Genomic DNA, 18,360 nt, shown 5'->3' with positions numbered 1-18,360 from the left:
GCAAGGAGAGAAGGCTCTGGATGGTAGATTGAGGCCTCTGTGAGTAGCAGCTCAGGGTGCCTGAGTTGGGAGAGGGCGAGAGGTGGGCAGCAGGGCCCCGGGGGTGGGGATCTGCCTGCTCTGGGCTGATGGGAAAGGGCAGCCCAGGCCAGGGGAGGAGACCAGGAGCTGCGGGCTGCACGGCTGTCCCGGGCTCCCACGGGGTAAGCCTGTTACCGGCAGGGCAGTGAGTAGGTTCTCATCCTGGGATCTGAGGGGCTAGGATTCTGTCTAATGACATCCCGGGAACCCAGTCCAGGGCCTGTGGAGTCCACCTCTTAGGCAAGCGTTTTAGCCACAAACCCCACGGCATCCCCCAAACCATAGGAAGGTTTTAGGTGGTTCCCAGGTCTGGCCTTACCCAACTCTGATCCCTCCACGAGAACATTACTTCCTTTTCAATTCTCTTTCCATCCCCAAAACTGGGTCCAGAGCAAAGCTCTGTTCGAGGTCAGTGTCATTATTGCCTGTAAAGTGTCCTTTGAAACAAAGCGAGAACGGCCCGAAGAGGACGAGGAATCCTGCTGGACTTGGTCATTCTGTTTTTCAGGGCACTGTTTGGTTTTGCCTTCTATTAACAGCAGGTGATAACGACTTTCCAGTTATGTTTGAATTTGAAAAATAAGTGTGTGAGTAAAAAAGAATGAATAGGTTGATTTATAGGGGATCATTAGGAGCTCATGGGCGTGCAGAGAACACAGAAAGCCCGGGATCGACCACCCTCCGACGGTCCTGTGCACCCGCCTGGCCCCCAGGCTGGTCTCCGAGGCTCCAGCCTCTACATCTCTCCTGGGTTGTGTCATCTCTTCCTTCTCGGCTCACAGGGTGGCCCTTTTTGGGTGTAGCCGAGAGGCTGACGCATGACCAGGAATAGCCTCCTGAGCTGGGTGGGGCCTTGAGCTTCAAAATCCTGGCCTCAGATTGACACGATTTACAGAGACTCTGCCCATGTGGACAGAAATGTTTCGGCCTCCAGCCTTAGAATCACAGAAAGTTCATGATGATGATAATCAGAACAGTGGCTCATCTTCAGTGAGTGCTTACTATCTACCAGGTACCCTGCTAAGCCTTCATCCATTGTCACAGTTACTCTTCACACCAATCCACAAGGGGACTACAACGGTTACTGCCATTTCACAGACAAGGACATGGAAGCTCAGAGACATGAAGTCACTTGTCCAAGGTCACACAGCGAGAAAATGAGGAATCCAGGTTTCAGGACCCAGAGCCCAAAGTCATAACGAATGGTTGGAACTGGGAAGAAACTTCATGATCTATTGTGACAGATTAGGAATCTGCAGCCCAGAGAGGAGATGTGAGGAGCCAGGACTACCTGGTGAACAGCCCCAGGGCTGAGCTGAACCCTCGCATCTCCAGCCACTGGCTTGTGCTTATTGCAGTTCCATCCAAACTTCCATATTTTTAAAATCAGTCTCTCATACATATTACAATCTCCTGAGAGCTTATCTCCCCACTGTTCTCATCTCTGCTTCCCTTCCTCCCTGTCCCCCCACCTCTGTGTTCCCTGTGGGTGCTAATCCATCACAACTGACTGATCACTGACTGACTGTTGACATATGCCACCGCCCCTGCTTCAGCTCGTGGAGAAACTGCCTGTCACCAGGTGGGTAGACCATCTCCATGGGGAATTCCCAGAAGCTGGGACATGGCTGCAGCCTCTGAGCCCTCTCTTGTTGTTTGTGGGGGCCCAGCTTCAGGATCCTGGCACCTGGGGATCTCAGGAGGTGCTGTACAGCTTGATTAGACCTACTGAGTGCCAGGCACCCAGCAAAGCAGTAGCTGGGGAGCCAGAAGAGGGTTCCAGTGTTTTAAGACAGAAAATCTAGAAAGAAGCTATTTAATTTTAGCATTACAAGTAAATACAGTGTCATTGGAAAAATGAAAGTGTCTTTTGAATTTCCTGGTGTGGTGGGGGTGGATGCCCTAAGCTCTTCGGTGCCAAGAGCCTCTGACGGCCTTGGAAAGCACCCTGAAAGGGCCCAGCCCAGAGGGTGCACCCAGCGCCAGCCATGATGACATTGCAGGCCCTTCAAAGATGCCAGGCCTTGGTGAGGACAGCAACCAGGAACTTCTGCTGCTCTTTCCCTCCATGGGGGGCAGGTTTGTGCCCCATGCAGGGGTCCAGAGTCCTCCGCCCCAGTGCAGTGAAAGCATTAAAGATTGATGGCCTCTGCCTTTTGAAGTCATCTTTGTGTAAGTCGCACCAGGAGACCCGCAGCTGCAGCTACTGCGGGCAGGTCCACTTTCTCTTCCCTGTTTACTGAAAGCTCCCTCAAATACACCTTTTCTGCTCACAGAGGTGCTGCCGCGCTGCCTGCCTGGTTCCCCAGGGGCCTGGAAGGGCCAGGAAGGGACTTCAGTAGCCACAGGCATTTGCTGAAAGTTGGGCAGGGCAACATCCATGTCCTCCCCCAAGATCTCACCCTTTCCAGGGCAACAGGGAGAGGAGCATCTCAGGGAGGCAGCATGCGAGAGGGGGACCAAGCTAGAGGGTGATGGAGCTGGCCAGCCCCGAGCAAATCCCTGCACTGCTTGGCTCCAGCTGTGCACGTTCCAGTAAGTCATTAGCCTTTCTAAGCTGCCTCTTGTAAAATGAAGGCAACGGGCCTGGCTGCGGAGCAGGTGGAAGGGCTGGAGGGAGTGCGTTGGACCAGCTTAGCCATAGTAGGCGCTATGGGCTGAATCATGTTTCCCCCAAGTTCATATGTTGAAGCCTAACCCCCAGTGTGATGGTGTGTAGAGGTGGGATCTTTGGGAGATAATGAAATGAGCTCATGGAAGTGGGGCCCTTGTGATGGGAGCAGTGTCTGTATTAGTCTGTTCTCACACTGCTAATAAAGACATGCCCAAGACTGGTAATTTATAAAGGAAAGAGGTTGAATGGACTCACAGTTCCACATGGCTGGGGAGGCCTCACAATCATGGCGGAAGGTGAAGAAGGAGCAAAGGCACGTCTTACATGGCGTTAGGCAAGAGAGCACGTGCAGGGAACTGCCCTTTATAAAACCATCAGATCTTGTGAGATTTATTCACTATCGTGAGAATAGCAGAGGAAAGACTCACCCTCATGATTCAATTACCTCCTACTGGGTCCTTCCCATGACACAGAATTATTACAATTCAAGGTGAGATTTGGATGGGGACACAGAGCCCAACTGTAGCAGTGTTCTCATAAGAGGAGACCAGAGAGTGGCCGTCATGCATTTAATAGAGTACTGAGTACTTGATTCAGCGAAGGACGTAATGGTAAGAAATCAATCGCCCTGGATGCCTGGTACTCACAGTGTTGTGGGAAATTTGGGGGGCTCTTTCCTGTTCTGTTCTCCAGATGTTGATGCTTACTTGTACCCCTGAGATGTTTTTATCCTATCTGCACCAGTCCAACTCCCTTTGTTTCGCAACCCCCCTCTGCTAGCCTCCACTTCTGGCAGCTTTTTCTGGCTGCCCTGCCACGGTGGCCATTTCCCTCCCCATTGATCCAGGACCCTCCTGAGGACTCCAGAACATACAGGCCAGCCAGGGCTTGGGCCATAGTTAAGTTGGGGCACAATAAGGCCCACGCTGGGATTTCTGTCCTGCCAAGCAGAAGACCCACTCCCTCCCCTTGAGGAGTCCACAAACTGTTAGGGCAGCTGAGATCATACTGGGAGGGGCTGTGGGGTCTCCTGGGACAGAACTCAGCCTACGTGGAGAGGTGTGGAGAATAGGAGCTCCAGGCAGGACATGGGCCCCTCGGGAGACTTGAGCCCGCAGCTGGGGTTCTCAAAGTGCGCCCTGTACACCCCTGCAGGAGGAGAGCAGGCAGCCCGTGATTTAAAGACTTTTATGTTTCTTTTTTTGAGATGCAGTCTCCCTCTGTCACCCAGGCTGGAGTGCAGTGGTGTGATCGCAGCTCACTGCAATCTCCGCCTCCAGGGTTCAAGCAATTCTCCTGCCTCAGCTTCTCAAGTAGCTGGAATTATAGGCATGTGCTATCATGCCCAGCTAATTTCTGTATTTTTAGTAGAGACAGGGTGTCACCATGTTGGCCAGGCTGGTCTCAAATTCCTGACCTCAAGTGATCCATCCGCCTCGGCCTCCCAAAGTGCTGCAATTACAGGTGTGAGCCACCATGCCTGGCCTAAAGATTTTCATATTTCTTTTCATGAGGATCTGAGTTATATTATTAATATAATTTCTTTAGGCCAAGGTCAAATTAAAAGTGACAATTTAAAGAAAAAGATGAAGCAAGTAATTGTACAGGTGGTGCCTAGGATGTGGTAAGCATCATGCCAGTGTCCCGGGGTGGCTGCTGTGTGGAGCACGCAGCTGTTAGGGAAAGCGCATATCCTTTCTGGAAGTGACAGTCATAGCCTGGAGCCCCAGCTTTGCTGTTGACTGTGTGTGTGCCTTGTGAGAGATGGGTCACCTTTCTGAGCCTGTTTCTTGCTCACAAAGAAGGGAGGATCATAACTACCTTGTAGGGTTATAGCGAGAATTAAATGCGGTAATGCATGTGTGCACATGTAACACGCACATGAAGACTGTGATGTATGTTACTTCACAAGAAGCTTCATGGGACTCTGAGAGGGCTGGGCACCTGCAGTGTTGGTGCCCATGGCTTGGGCAGCAGCAGGAAACATCTTATTGAGCAGGTCAGAGTCAAAAGATAATGATGATGATTTTCTAGCCAAGAGAATAGAAGTTTGATGAGAACATGCAAATCCCCATTGACTGTCCGCCTCACTGCTCTCACTCTGGGAATGCTTCTGGAGAAATCTGATGATGACAGTGGTTCCTGCAGAATGGGTAGTGATGGAGCTAGGGAAATATTATTTTGTGACTGTTGTTGTCATTCATTCATTCATTAAACACTTACTCATCACTGTAGGGCTATTAGAATGTGAATAAGACATTGAGTCTGCCCTCTAGGAGCCCACAGTCTGGTGGGAGAGTCAGGCATCAACTAACATGAGTCTGCTCTGATGGATAGCAGAGGGCATGCTGGGAACATTGGTGTTCAGTGAAGGGTTAACTCAGCAGGCCTGGGTTGTCCAAACCCTACACATTCCAAAGAAAGAACTGGCCCTTAACTGGCTCCTGGGAGATAACCTCTATGCCCTTGGAATACTCTACCTGATAAGAGTATTTTCACCTAGCTGGAGTCTTGGACCGCACCAGATAGTTTAGGCTAACAATGTGATTGATGGTAAGGGCCCTGGACCACCTCAGATAGTTTGACCTCTGGGATGGGGGACTGAATACTGAGTAGCTAAGGTCAGTCACATAGGCACCGCCCCTCAATAAAAAACCTGAACACCAAGTCTCACCTCAGATGAGCTTCCCTGGCTGGCGATACTTTGTGCATGTTGTCACACAGCACTGCTGGGAGAATGAAGTCTGTTCCACTCCCTTGGGGGAGACGACTGAACGCTCACGCCTGGTCTCTCTTGAACTCTGCCCTCTGCACCCCTTTCTTGTGCTGATTTTAATCTGGATTCTTTCTGCAGTAAACTGTAACCATGAGTATAACAGCTTTTCTGAGTTCTGTGAGTCCTCCTAGTGAATCATTAAGACCACTTGAGGGCAGCCTTGGGGACCCCTGGCCCACTAGGGTAGGGACAGTGACACTGGAGGGGGTAGTCAGGAGACCTCATGGGTGAAATGGAGGCTGAGTGGGGTAAGGACGGAGGAAGGAAGGACCAGCTGGCAGGGAAAGAGCAGGTGTGGAGGTTGTGGGGAGGAGAGGTCCAGACTCTAACCTGCATAAGTGGTTAGGTCTGGGCAGGTGAAGGGAGGCAAGGGGGGGGACAGAGAGACAGGGCTGGAGAGATGGGTAGGGATCAGACCTTGCAGAGCCCAACAAACCATGTCAGAAAATAGTGTACTTTTGTCTAAGAGTATCTGGAGCTGCAGAATGGGTTTTTTTGTTTTGTTTTGTTTTTGTTTTTGTTTTTGTTTTTTGAGACAGGGTTTCACTCTGTCACCCAGTCTGAAGTGCAGGAGGCGATCTTGACTCACTGCAACCTCTGCCTCCCAAGTTCAAGCAATTCTCCCATCTCAGCCAGGACTACGGGTGCCTGCCACCATGCCCAGCTAATTTTTGTTTTTTTTTTTTTGGTAGAGATGGGGTTTTGCCATGTTGGCCAGGCTGGTCTCAAACTCCTGGCCTTGAGCAATCCACCCACCTCGGCCTGCCAAAGTGCTGGGATTACAGCGTGAGCCACGGTGACCAGCGTGCAGAGGGGTTTTAAACAGAGCATTGATATGTCTACAACTACCTGGATGATATGATTTGACTGAGTCCCCACCCAAATCTCATCTTGAATTGTAATCCAAATTGTAATCCCCATATGTTAATCCAAATTGTAATCCCCACATGTAATCCTCACATGGTGGGAGGTGATTGGATCATGGTTTTCCCTCATGCTGTTCTCGTGATAGTGAGGAAGTTCTCATGGGATCTGGTTGTTTGATAAGTGTCTGGCGCTTCCTCCTCCTCTCTCTCTCTTTCCTGCTGCCTTGTGAAGAGAGTACTTGCTTCTCCTTTGCCTTCTGCCATGACTGTAAGTTTCCTGAGGCCTTCCCAGCCATGTGGAATTGTGAGTCAATTAAACCTCTTTCCTTTATAAATTACCCCGTCTCAGGTAGTATCTTTATAGCAGTGTGAAAATGGACTAATACTCTGGACCAGCAGCAATGCAGGCAATAGAAGGGGTTGAGATGGAAATAACAAAAGCCTGAATGAAGATAGAGATGGCAGTAGGAACCAAAGCAGGAAGGGGTCTACTGGGAGGACCCACAGGTGGGAGACCCAAAGGGATTTGGTGAGAGACTAAACATGGAAGGAAGGAGTTGGGATTTCAGACTCAGAGGCCTGGGTGGACAGTGACGCTACTGACAGACGAGATGAGCTGGAGGAGAAAAGACTGAGTGTTCAGGAGATGGGTTCAGGCTCAGGTACTGTATTCATTAGATACAAGCCATGCTTCTATCACAGTGAGACCCCCAAAGGCAGTGGCTTAACCGGGCAGAAGCATGGCATTCCTCTCTTTCAAGCAGTGTGGCTGGCAGGGTAATTGTCTCCATCCAGTCATTAACGGAACATGGCTGCTTTCTGTCTTGTTGCTCCACCATGCTCTGGGGTATCGTCCTTGTGTGCAAGGCCAGGGTCACTGACATGGCAGCTCCAGACCACAAGAAGGGGGAAAGAGTGGGAGTTCAAACCAAACAATTTCCTTATAAGCAGTGGACACACTGGTTGCACAAAACACTTAAATTGTTGAGAACTTATACCTCTGACCATCTCCAAGGGCCCCGGAGATTAGCTGGGTGGCCATTTAGCAAGCTAAAGCTCTCTATTACCATGGAAGAGGGGAGAACAGATTTTGGGAGACAAGGGCAGTCTACCACAGACACACCAGGAGGAGATCTGGAGCTTGGGGAAGGATCTGAGTTAGACATATGGACTTGGTGGTAGTTGTAATAGTGAGAGGGAATGAGGTTACTCAAGGGAAGTGATGAGGTGAAGAGGAGAGGAGCTCCAAGAGTGGAATCCGGGAGTTCTGTGGCCTAAGATATAAGGATACAGAATGGAAACCAAGCCAGCAAAGGAGAAGAGAAGGAGAAGGCAGAGAAATAGAGGAAACCAAGAGGGTAGGGTCTTAGAGGTCAGAAGCAGAGGACATCCCTAGAAGGCAAGAGTGGCTGATAAGTTCTGGCACTACAGAGGTCAGGATTGAAACATGTCCATTGGTTTTGACAACTGGCAGGTAAAAAATCAAGGCAGACTGCAGTAAATTGAGGAGTGAAATGGGAGGTGAGGAAGGGTAGACAACACGTGTAGAGCTTTTTGTGAAGTGCTTAGCTTAGAAGGGAAGGAGAGGCATGAGGGAAGTTTGGCATTTGCCGTGGTTTTTTTTTTTTTTTTTTTTTTTTGAGATGGAGTCTCGCTCTGTTGCCCAGGCTGGAGTACAGTGGTGCAATCTCAGCTTACTGCAAGCTCCACCTCCTGGGTTCAAGCCATTCTCCTGCCTCAGCCTCCCAAGTAGGTGCGACTACAGACACCCGCCACAACGCCCAGCTAATTTTTGTATTTTTATTAGAGACGGGTTTTCACCTTGTTAGCCAGGATGGTCTCGATCTCCTGACCTCGAGATCCACCCACCTTGGCCTCCCAAAGTGCTGGGATTACAGGCGTGAGCCACCGCGTCCGGCCTGGTATTTGCTGTTTTAAGACAGAAATGCAAGATTCTAGGGGAGGAGATGGGAATGACCAGACCTCAAATGAAAGGGCTGGCGATGGACAGAAAGAGGGAGGTGACCTCCCCCACTGGGATGGAAAGGACCGAGCAAGAGATGAGTCATGAGGGAAACCAGTCTATAGGTGGTGGAGCGGTGGGGAGGTGAGGGGATTGCCATCTAAAGGCTTCTGTTTTCTTGGTGACCTCAGAAGTGGGGCCAATGTCTGAGAATAGGAGATGGAAATGATGTGTGGAGGGTTTCGTGGAGGTAGTGAGAGTCTGAAATAGCTGTTGTGAGTATCGGGGTGCCCACTGACAGGGCTGTTTTAGTCTGCTCTTATGCTGCTAATAAAGACATACCTGAGACTGGGTAATTTATAAAGGAAAGAGATTTAATGGACTCACAGTTCCACACGGCTGGGGCAGCCTCACAATCATGGTGGAAGACAAGGAAGAGAAAAGGGACGTCTTACGTGGTGGCAGGCAAGAGAACTTGTGCAGGGGAACTCCCATGTATAAAACCATCAGATCTCATGAGACTTATTCACTACCAGGAGAACAGTATGGGAGAAACTGCCCCCATGATTCAATTATCTCCACCTGGTCCCTCCCACGACACATGGGAATTATGGGAGCTACAATTCAAGATGACATTTGAGTGGGGACACAGCCAAACCATATCAAGGGCATTGAGGATGATAGCTGGGGTGCAGCATAGTACCAGCCCCGTGCATACACATGGGATTGTGTTCATTGGCTCTTGCTTTTGGAACAAATTACCTCAAACTTAGTGGCTTAAACAATACAAATTTATTATCATATCAGTTCTGGAGGTTTTAAGTCCTACTGAACTAAAAATGAAAGTGTTGGCAGGGCTGTGTTTCTTCTGGAAGCTCCAGGGGAGACCCCTCAGATTTCTCACCCTCTAGAGGCTGCCAGTGGTCCTCAGCTTGTGGCCCCTTCCTTCTTTGAAGCCAGCAGTCCCAGAACTCTGACCTCTGCTGCTCTGTCAGAGCCCTCCTCCAACACTCCTGCCTCCCTCTTTCCCTTAGAGGGACCTTTGTCCTTCTGTCTGGGGCCACCCAGATAATCCAGGATAATCCGAGCATCTGAAGATTCTTAATTTAATCACACTCTCAAAGTCCTTTTTGTCATGTAAGGCCACATATTCACAGGTTCCAGGGATTAGGATGTGGACATCTCAGGGGACAACCATTCTGCCTCCCACAGGCACCAATTTACAAATCACTTGATTTTCTCTAGTGTTACCCTGAGGCTCAGGTGCAGAGATGGAGAAAATTTGAGAGGTGAGATTGGAAGAGGGTTGGGGATCTTCTAGGAGACAAATACTAGAAGAGAGCCCAAGGGAACTGAGGTGTTGGCAAAGGCGAGGTTAAATGATGCCTCACCATGGTCTGGACTGGTTAGGATGGCCCTGAAACCAGGAAGCATTGATAGATTGGGAGAAAATGGAGGAGTCAAGACCTGGAGGCTTGATGAGGTTGAAGAATGGGTGTCACGGTGGAGAGGGCATGGAGGAATCGGGAGCATTGGAGACTGTGGTCAGAGAGGAGAATGATGGCCCTGAAGATTACACTGGGACAGTTAGGGGTGATGACAAGGTCAAGGTTGGAGATAAAAGTCAATGGAGGTGAGAAGACCAGAGAACTGTGTGGTCAGGAAGTCAGAGTGGTTGGCCCCATGGACATCGATGTGTTGTGATGGCGGCAGTATTTGGGGTACAGAGGAAGGCTTTAGCCAAAGTGAAGTCTTTGATGAAAGTCAGGGAGAGGCCAGGAAGGAGCTGGGGAGATGATGGGGTTGAGAAAGGGCTCAGGATGGCCAACTTAGACCCTCAGAGGAGAAAACTTTGCCCCAGGAGGGTGGAGGAGTGATGGTTTGCAGGTGTCAGCATCCCCCCAACCGCCACCACCAACTCTCCTTGACTGCAATTCCAAGTGCAAGGACATGAGTTCATAACCATCTGTTATCGTTGACTTCTATTCCTGAGATTGCACCAGCTGTTTTGTTGCAAGCTGCAAGTTAAAAAATACCTGTCTCAGGTGTGTCTGCCCCGGCCAGTCCCTGGAGTCTAAGGTCCCTCAGATCCTTTCTCCCTTCCCATCTGTGTATCTCTTGGGACTGAGTCTGGGGCTGGGCTGCCGGGAGTGCTATATTGGGAACCTGGGCAGAGAACCTCTACAGAACGGGCAGCTTTCACCAGGGAGGACGCAGTGTCCTTGGGTGAGGGCAACTTTAGGGCCTTGGCGGCTGTGGCTCCGGCCGGCCTCCACCCTGCGGGAGGACAGGCCTTGCTCTCTTGGCTGCCCAGGGGCCCACACCCCACCCAGAAGAGCCTGTGTATCTTCTGGCTCATTGGTGAAAAGCCACCTCAATGACACCACCCAGAAGTTTGAAACCAGCCGTTGGTACTGGGGAGGTGGCCAGTGACCCAGATAAAAGCCAGAAAACCCGGCCTTGGCCAGAGCCTGGCCTCCCTGCCCCCTGGGCCTCCTTCTTCTTTTCTGGCGGCGGGGGGTTGCGGGGGAGGGGCACAGCGTACCCCAGACCCAGGGACATCTATTTACCCTAACTGCCCACAAAGACTAATGGGGGGCTCTTCCCCTGCCTCCCCACATCAAGAAGAGAACATTTTAAAAATGTTTTTATTTAATTAAAAAAAAGACAGAACAACCAACCCAAAACCAGTAGTAGGTACTGGAGTCACAGGTGCTTAACTGGCGAAACACACAGGGGTGGGGGCGAGGGGGCGGGTCGGGAGGAGGGAGAGAAGGTGGGCACAGGCCACCACATCCCCCCGTTGGGTGTCAGGTCTGAGATGCAGCGGGAGGGCCAGGAATGGGCGGCCCAGGGCCCAGGGTCCCCGGAGACCCAGCTGGCCGCGGGGAGAAGGCTGAGAAGGCCCGGGTGTCTGAGGTGGTTTTGCTCCCGGCTCGTCCCCTTCTTCCTACTCTTTCTTGGTCCCTAGGTGGGCCCTGCTTACTCTGCCTGGGACTGGGCAAGAGGTAGGATTCATTGGAACACAGCTTTCTCCATGGAATGATAGAAACTTCTGGGGCAGCGGGAGGGGAGGTGGCGGATGGAGAGGAACTAGAACAGCACGGCTGCCTTGCTTTTGGAAATCACAGAAGAAAAGTCTCGGGGCCTTGCTGGACAGCGGGACTGGGGAGGGCGTTCCCTGCCTTCGGCCTGGTCATGGCAGTGGAGGTGGTGACAGGGCTGGCCTAGAGCAGGTGAAGGCCTTGAGCTCTGGTGCTTCAGCATCCGCTGCTGGGCACACTTGGACATGCCATCAGATGATGCCAACCCTGATGGGAGCGAAGGCTCTGGAGCACAGCACACAGGGGCCCTGGCAGGCCTCATTTCAGATCCCCAGCACACGGCGACAGTCAGCTGGGGCCGCTACCGGTGGATGCGTCCTTTCCTGGGGGCAAAGGAAGATGGGATGGACGATGACATCATCACTAGGCCGAACGGACCTGGGTCTGAACCCCAGGGGGCCGAGTCCACCCATGGGCTGTGAGCAGGTAGCTGAGGCAAGGATGCGCTCGTTATTTCCAAGCACAACAGCTACCAGGACTACAGGCGACTGTTCCAGGGTGGATCAAGGAGTCTCAAAAAATAAGAAACAATTTTTCTTTAGAAAGCACATGTTTTATACAAAAGAGGGTTAAGTTCCATGTTCTGGAGAGTTCTTCTTCCAAGCCTGCACACGCCTCCACGCTCTTTGCTTGCTTCAGGAGGGGGAAGAAAAGAATGGCTGGAAAAACTGTAAAACACAGAAACCACTTCCTCAGCTCCGGACAAAGTGCTGAGATCTCCCCTCTGTAGGGAGGAAGAGAAGCCCAGCTCGGTCCGTTTATCCAAACTCACTCCACTCCGTCCTGTTAGGTGGTGGCAGAATAACTTACAATGACAGGAGTTGTGGGGCCAGTTGCTGCTACTTTTTAAGACAAAGAAATGAAGGTAAGTTGCTCTCCTGGCGTTGATTTGCAGGAAGTTATGATTTGTAACCACCTAGGAAATGGATGTTTGTTCTCTAGGGTTTTTATTGGCCACTGTTCACCCTTAGGTCTCCCTTTCTTGCACAGAAGTCCAGGCTCCTGTTGCCAAATGCCAGTTGGAGGGAGGTGTCTGTCCACCTCTCCCCCGGGACCCCCAACGCTCAGGGGACAGAGTTGCTCCTTGGGTCTATGACAAGGGGCACGGCAAGAGGTCACGTGGCCGCCATTCCCCTGACCGATGGAACCCTCCAGACTCTGAAGTCCAGTCAGTGGGTCTGTCCTGCCCATTCTGAGTGAGGCAGAAACTTCCAGAAGCAAAGAGGATAGCCAGCAACAGCCCCCAGCCTTTACCTGGGCCTCCTCCACAGGCCACGGCCTCCCCAGGTCGAGGGAAGCTGGCCCCGGGACAGCGCAAAGGCCAAAGCACCAGTTGGCTGCAGAGCTGTCTTCAGGATCATAGGCCACTGCCAGAGTCTTGGAGAGAGGGAGAGATGGAGAGGAAGGGAGTGAGCTTCGGTGGTCTGATTTCTGGCTCAACGACGCAGGAACCTCAGGTTCAAAAGCAGCTGACAAGAGCCCAGAGACCGTCTTCTTGGCGTCCGGCAGAGCCTTCTGGTGGCCCGACACCCAGGCAGGGAGGGAAGGCCCTGAAATCCCGTTTTTCTGGCAAGATTCGTTTCCAAGAGGAGATAATGGCTCAATTTTGTCTTCCCAAGTTGATCAAGGCCAGGCAGCCTCAGGAAAGCTCTGGGGCTTCCCGGGAGATTTCAGAGACCCTGAGGCATCAAAACACCCTTTTTCGGGGAGGGGACAAAGTCAGCCTTCAGCTTCTTCTGCAGCCCCGGGTCCGGTCTCCCAGCACAACCTTCGTGCAAAGCCAGCCCACGCCACCTCTGGAGGCCAGGGAGGGCTGCATTTGGCTTTAGTTCATTGTTCGTCGTCTTGAGGATCACATGCCATCCTGTGTGACAAAAAGAGCCGTTCTGGGGAGAGGCTGGAGCGGAGAGAAAGGGCAGGCGGCTCACACAGGGGTCGTCCGTCGGTTCAGCATGCTGACGTGGAAACCTTCCTTCAGGTCCTGCTGGAAAAAGTCATGCACCTGCAGGAAGCTGGCCTCCTGGTCGGGGCTGTAGCTGGCTGCGGTGGTCACCTTGAGGGGCTCCCTGGACAGCGTGTACATGGACAGCTCCCCCATGGGGATGGCCCCTGTGATCTTCAGGCCCATGGGCGACACGTCCCTGGAGGGCGAGGCCTCGGTGGACCTTGAGCTGGACCTCGAGCGCCGTCGCCGGTACCTGTAGCTCGGCATCCTGGCATAAGGAGAAGAGGAAGACGCCTTAAGGAATTCCCGTTTGGTCTTAAACCTCAACTCTTTATTTTTCTCAATGTAAATGTTTACAGCCAGGACGCCCACGGTCTCAGCCACAATGAAAGACAGAGCTCCAAAGTAAAAAGACCAGCCGTAGTTGTAATGGTTCTTTTTGTCTTCGTCCCGCTTGTCACTCGGGTCACCTGTGTTGCTGGAAATGTAGACGATGATACCGATGATGTTACTGAGGCCTGAAAGGGAAGCGGGGAGCGGGGAGCGGGGCCAGGGAGGGAGAGAGGCAGAGGTTAGACCCACAGTGGGACGGGCAGTGTAGGGAACAGGTGGACACTCCCCTCTCTGATGAGTATTTCTTTATTCTGGTTGCTAATTTTTCTTTTCAGTAATTAATGTTGAATGGGTAATAGAGTACAAAGTTCAAATGAGGTATACAATAAAACACACTCTCAGCCCCCAGTTCCCCTCTTTAAGGCAACTACTGTTGTCTTCTTTCGTATGTCCTTCCAGAAAAAAAATTTCTCTCTTCACACACACACACACACACACCCCTATTATTTCCTTTGCACAGTACTCTGGCTGCTTAGTTTTTCTCTTAACAGTACATCTGAGAGACGGTTCTGAATCAGAACATGGAGAGCCATCCCTGTCTTTCTAACTACGTGCGGCACCGCCATACAGAAGTCTCACGACCCACCTAACCAGGCCTTTACGGGAGATGTCTGGGTGCTCCCTGCCCTCTGCTGTGACAAGGTTGCCTTGGACACCCTTGTGTCTACAGCCTCACATGTGCACATGGGTACAACCACGGGGTGCATTCCTTGCAGTGAAACTGCTGGGCCATGTGCATTGAAACACTTAAAATACATTTTTGTTTGGGAATAATTTTTGATTTACCGCACAGTAGCCAGGTCCAGAGAGTTTCATATACTCCTCATCCAGCTCTCCCTAATGTTAACATTTTACGTTATGTGGAACATTCGCCGCCACAAAGAAAACAACCTGGTACATTACTTCAGACTTTACATGGATTTGTTTGTTTTTGTTTGTTTGTTTGTTTGTTTTTTGGAGCCAGAGTCTCGCTCTGTCGCCCAGGTTGGAGTGCAGTGGCGCGATCTCGGCTCACTGCAACCTCCGCCTCCCGGGTTCAAGCAATTCTCCCGCCTCAGCCTCCTGAGTAGCTGGGATTACAGGCGCCCGCCACCACACCCAGCCAATTTTTTTTTGTATTTTTAGTAGAGACGGGATTTTATCACGTTAGTCAGGCTGGTCTTGAACCCCTGGCCTCATGATCCACCTGCCTCGGCCTCCCAAAGGGCTGGGATTACAGGCGTGAGCCACCACACCCGGCCTCGTTTGTTTTTTGAGACAGAGGCTCAGTCTCAGTCTGCTGCCCAGGCTGAGTGCAGTGGCACGATCTCCGCTCACTGCAACCTCCGCCTCCTGGGTTCAAGCGATTCTCCTGCCTCAGCCTCTTGAGTAGCTGAGATTACAGGCACGCACCACCATGCCTGGGTAATTTTTGTATTTTTAGTAGAGACAGGGTTTCACCATGTGGCTAGGCTGGTCTCAAACTCGGGACCTTACGTGATCCACCTGCCTCAGCCTCCCAAAGTGCTGGGATAATAGGTGTGAGCCACCACGCCCAGCCTTTACTTGGATTTTACTGGGTTTGTACTAATGTCCTTTCTCTGTCCCTGGATGGATTCAGGATATTACATTGCATTTAGTGTTTTAAATTTAGTCACTAAGTGCCCTCTGTAAGGGTACAAATGTCCCAACAGCCTATCATGAATATTATCAGACTTCTGGTTCTTTGCCAATATGGGAAGTGAAAAATAGCCATTGTTGTGTTTATCCAATTCTCTCTTATTCTAAGGGAGGTTGAACAGAGCCACACTGGTGGGGTTTGAGTTCTGGTTCTACCAAATACCAGTGTGTGACTTTTGGCAAATTACTCCCACTCCTTATGCGTCAGTCTCATCTGTAAAGTGGGAGTAACTGTGGTCCACACCTCACTGGGCTGGTGTGAGGATTAAATGAGCTGATATATACAAAGTGCTCACAACAGCACCCAGCACACAGGGCGCCTGACGTAAGTTCAATTACCATCCATTGCGTTTTTTTTCTGTTTTTGTTTTTCTTTTTTGAGACGGAGTCTCGCTCTGTCCCCCAGGCTGGAGTGCAGTGGCGCGATCTTGGCTCACTGCAAGCTCCGCCTCCCGGGTTCACGCCATTCTCCTGCCTCAGCCTCCTGAGTAGCTGGGACTACAGGCACCCGCCACCATGCCCAGCTAATTCTTTGTATTTTTAGTAGAGACGGGGTTTCACCGTGTTAGCCAGAATGGTCTCGATCTCCTGAGCTTGTGATCCGCCCGCCTCAGCCTCCCAAAGTGCTGGGATTACAGGCGTGAGCCACCGTGCCCGGCCCATTGCGTTTTATCATAAAGTGCTGTGTTGTGTTTGTCTCTGCACCGTCCACGTCCTCTGTCCATTCTCTGTGGCACCCACCCTGTGTGGAAGGGTTAGAATATCTTCTGCTAAGGGGTCCAGCAGTCCTGCCCTGAGCACACCAGTCCTGGGTTTCAACTCCTTGTCTCTTCTGTTGTGTTCTGTAAGAACCCTTTCCAACATGGTTTTTTTTTACCCTACTAGTTCGCTTTTTATTTATTTATTTTTTTTGAGACAGAGTCTTGCTCTGTCGCCCAGGCTGGAGTGCAGTGGCGTGATCTCAGCTCATTGCAACCTCCGCCTCCCAGGTTCAGGTGATTCTCGTGCCTCAGACTCCCAAGTAGCTGGGATTACAGGCACCTGCCACCAAACCCAGCTAATTTTTGTATTTTTTGGTAGAGACAGGGTTTCACCATGTTGGCCAGGCTGGTCTCGAACTCCTGACCTCCAGTGATCCGCCTGCCTCGGCCTCCCAAAATGCTGGGATTACAGGCATGAGCCACCGCTAGTTCACCTGTCTCCCCTCTGATCTCTCTCTTGCTGCTTCCCTAGCTTTGTGTTTTCTTCCCCTCTCTGTATTCAGCACGAGTTGGAAAAGGGTTTCTTAAATAACAACTCCATGAATTCCAGTTTCCCAGAGAAGTCTTGTGTCTTCTTCTGACTTTCCCAGCCTTGGAAACTGTCCCTCTCCTGTGGCACCTACCATTTTCCACCTCGAGTTCTTTAAGAGCCTGTCAGACCTCCCTGCTAGGGCTGGTGGCCTGAAGCCAGGCCCCACACATGACTCAGTGCCTGCTGCCCTGCTCAGTCCCCATCAGTGCCCCATGCGCCAGGGAATAAGCCAATGTCCCCTTGCTGGCCTCCCCATTGCTTCCTTGCAGCCAGCCGCGGCCACCTTCTCTGCCTGGACTCATTTTCTTCGGCTAGGGCTCTGGGTCCAGGCTCCAAGTCCCTCTGGTGGCACCAAGCATCTGGGCCTGCCTTTGAAACGGCTCCTCCTGGGGGCACGGGCAGCTGCAGGGGGCACCTCGAAGGGCTTTGGAGGCTGGCAGCCCTGGGCACAGCATGTCTTTGCCACTGTGCGTGTGACTTCAAGGAAGCCACCTGAGCTGCTGGACCGCCTGTGTGCCTCCTCCGCAGGAGCAGGGATGGTGGGGTTGGGCTCACAGAGCGCTGGCATGGCCACTGTGGTTTCTGATGTGACTGGAGTATTCTCTCCCTGCCGTGGGGAGGACGCTCTGGGGCAGTGTTGAGGGGTCACAGCCGGGACCTCCTAAACGGCTCACACCTTTTGAAAAATGACTGCTTCAAGGAGCAGGTGGCGGGCACTGGGGCAGGAGAGAGAGAAAGGAGGTGGGGGGAAGAAGGGAAGGGCGGGGGGACCTGTCCAGGAGGGAGGTTCATGCTTCTCCCAGGAGACCCTCAACACAGGCTCCTCTTCCCAACACACACACATGTGCACACACACACCACACTCCTCACACACACCATAGTCCTCACACACACAAACACACCACAGTCCTCAACACACACTCCTCAGACACACATATACCATAGTCCTCACACACACACACCACAGTCCTCAAATACACACACGCACACTACACGTCTCAGACACACACACACCACAGTCCTCAAATACACACACCACACTCCTCAGACACACACACACACCATAGTCCTCACACACACACCACAGTCCTCAAATACATACACACCCCACAGTCCTCAAATACACACACATACACCACATTCCTCAAATACAGACACACCCCACAGTCCTCAAATACACACACATACACCACATTCCTCAAATACACACACACCATGCTCACACACACAAACCCACCAGTCCTCAAATACACACACACACCACATTCCTCAAATACACACACACCATGCTCACACACACAAACCCACCAGTCCTCAAATACACACACACACCACACTCTTAACACGCACAAACACACCACACTCCTCGCACACACAAACACCATAGTCCCCAAATATACACACCACACTCTTCACACACACAAACACACCACAGTCCTCAAACACACACACCACACTCCTCACACACAAACACACCACACTCCTCACACACACAAACACACCACAGTCCTCAAATACACACACACATCCCACACTCTTCACACACACAAACACACCACAGTCCTCAAACACACACATACACCACACACACAATCACAGTTCTCAAACACATACACACACCACACTCCTGACACATGTACAGGCCCCACAGATCACTCGCAGATGC

At 51.6% G+C, this 18,360-nt stretch overlaps 1 protein-coding gene across 1 annotated transcript in view, besides 2 other annotated features; it reads right to left on the bottom strand.

The window, feature by feature from the left end:
* Positions 8,530–8,859: an enhancer, noted in NCBI's record as "active region_12618". NCBI's record gives its function as "activates an Ori minimal core promoter by ATAC-STARR-seq in GM12878 lymphoblastoid cells {active_cell/tissue: GM12878}" and the evidence as "EXISTENCE:reporter gene assay evidence [ECO:0000049][PMID:35858748]".
* CACNG4 (calcium voltage-gated channel auxiliary subunit gamma 4) overlaps positions 10,935–18,360 on the bottom strand; it is a 68,692-nt gene continuing 61,266 nt past the window's right edge. Inside the window, exon 4 of the mRNA NM_014405.4 lies at positions 10,935–13,867. Coding sequence (NP_055220.1) covers positions 13,329–13,867 — 539 coding nt within the window. The 3' untranslated portion in view covers positions 10,935–13,328. The remainder of the gene's footprint in view (positions 13,868–18,360) is intronic.
* Positions 15,409–15,609: a silencer, noted in NCBI's record as "peak2947 fragment used in MPRA reporter construct". NCBI's record gives its function as "represses an SCP1 promoter by STARR-seq MPRAs in K562 erythroleukemia cells {active_cell/tissue: K562}" and the evidence as "EXISTENCE:reporter gene assay evidence [ECO:0000049][PMID:32103011]".

This window comes from Homo sapiens, chromosome 17 (assembly GCF_000001405.40).
Source record: "Homo sapiens chromosome 17, GRCh38.p14 Primary Assembly".
NCBI lineage: Eukaryota > Metazoa > Chordata > Mammalia > Primates > Hominidae > Homo > Homo sapiens.
This window is presented reverse-complemented; position numbering and strand designations above follow the sequence as displayed.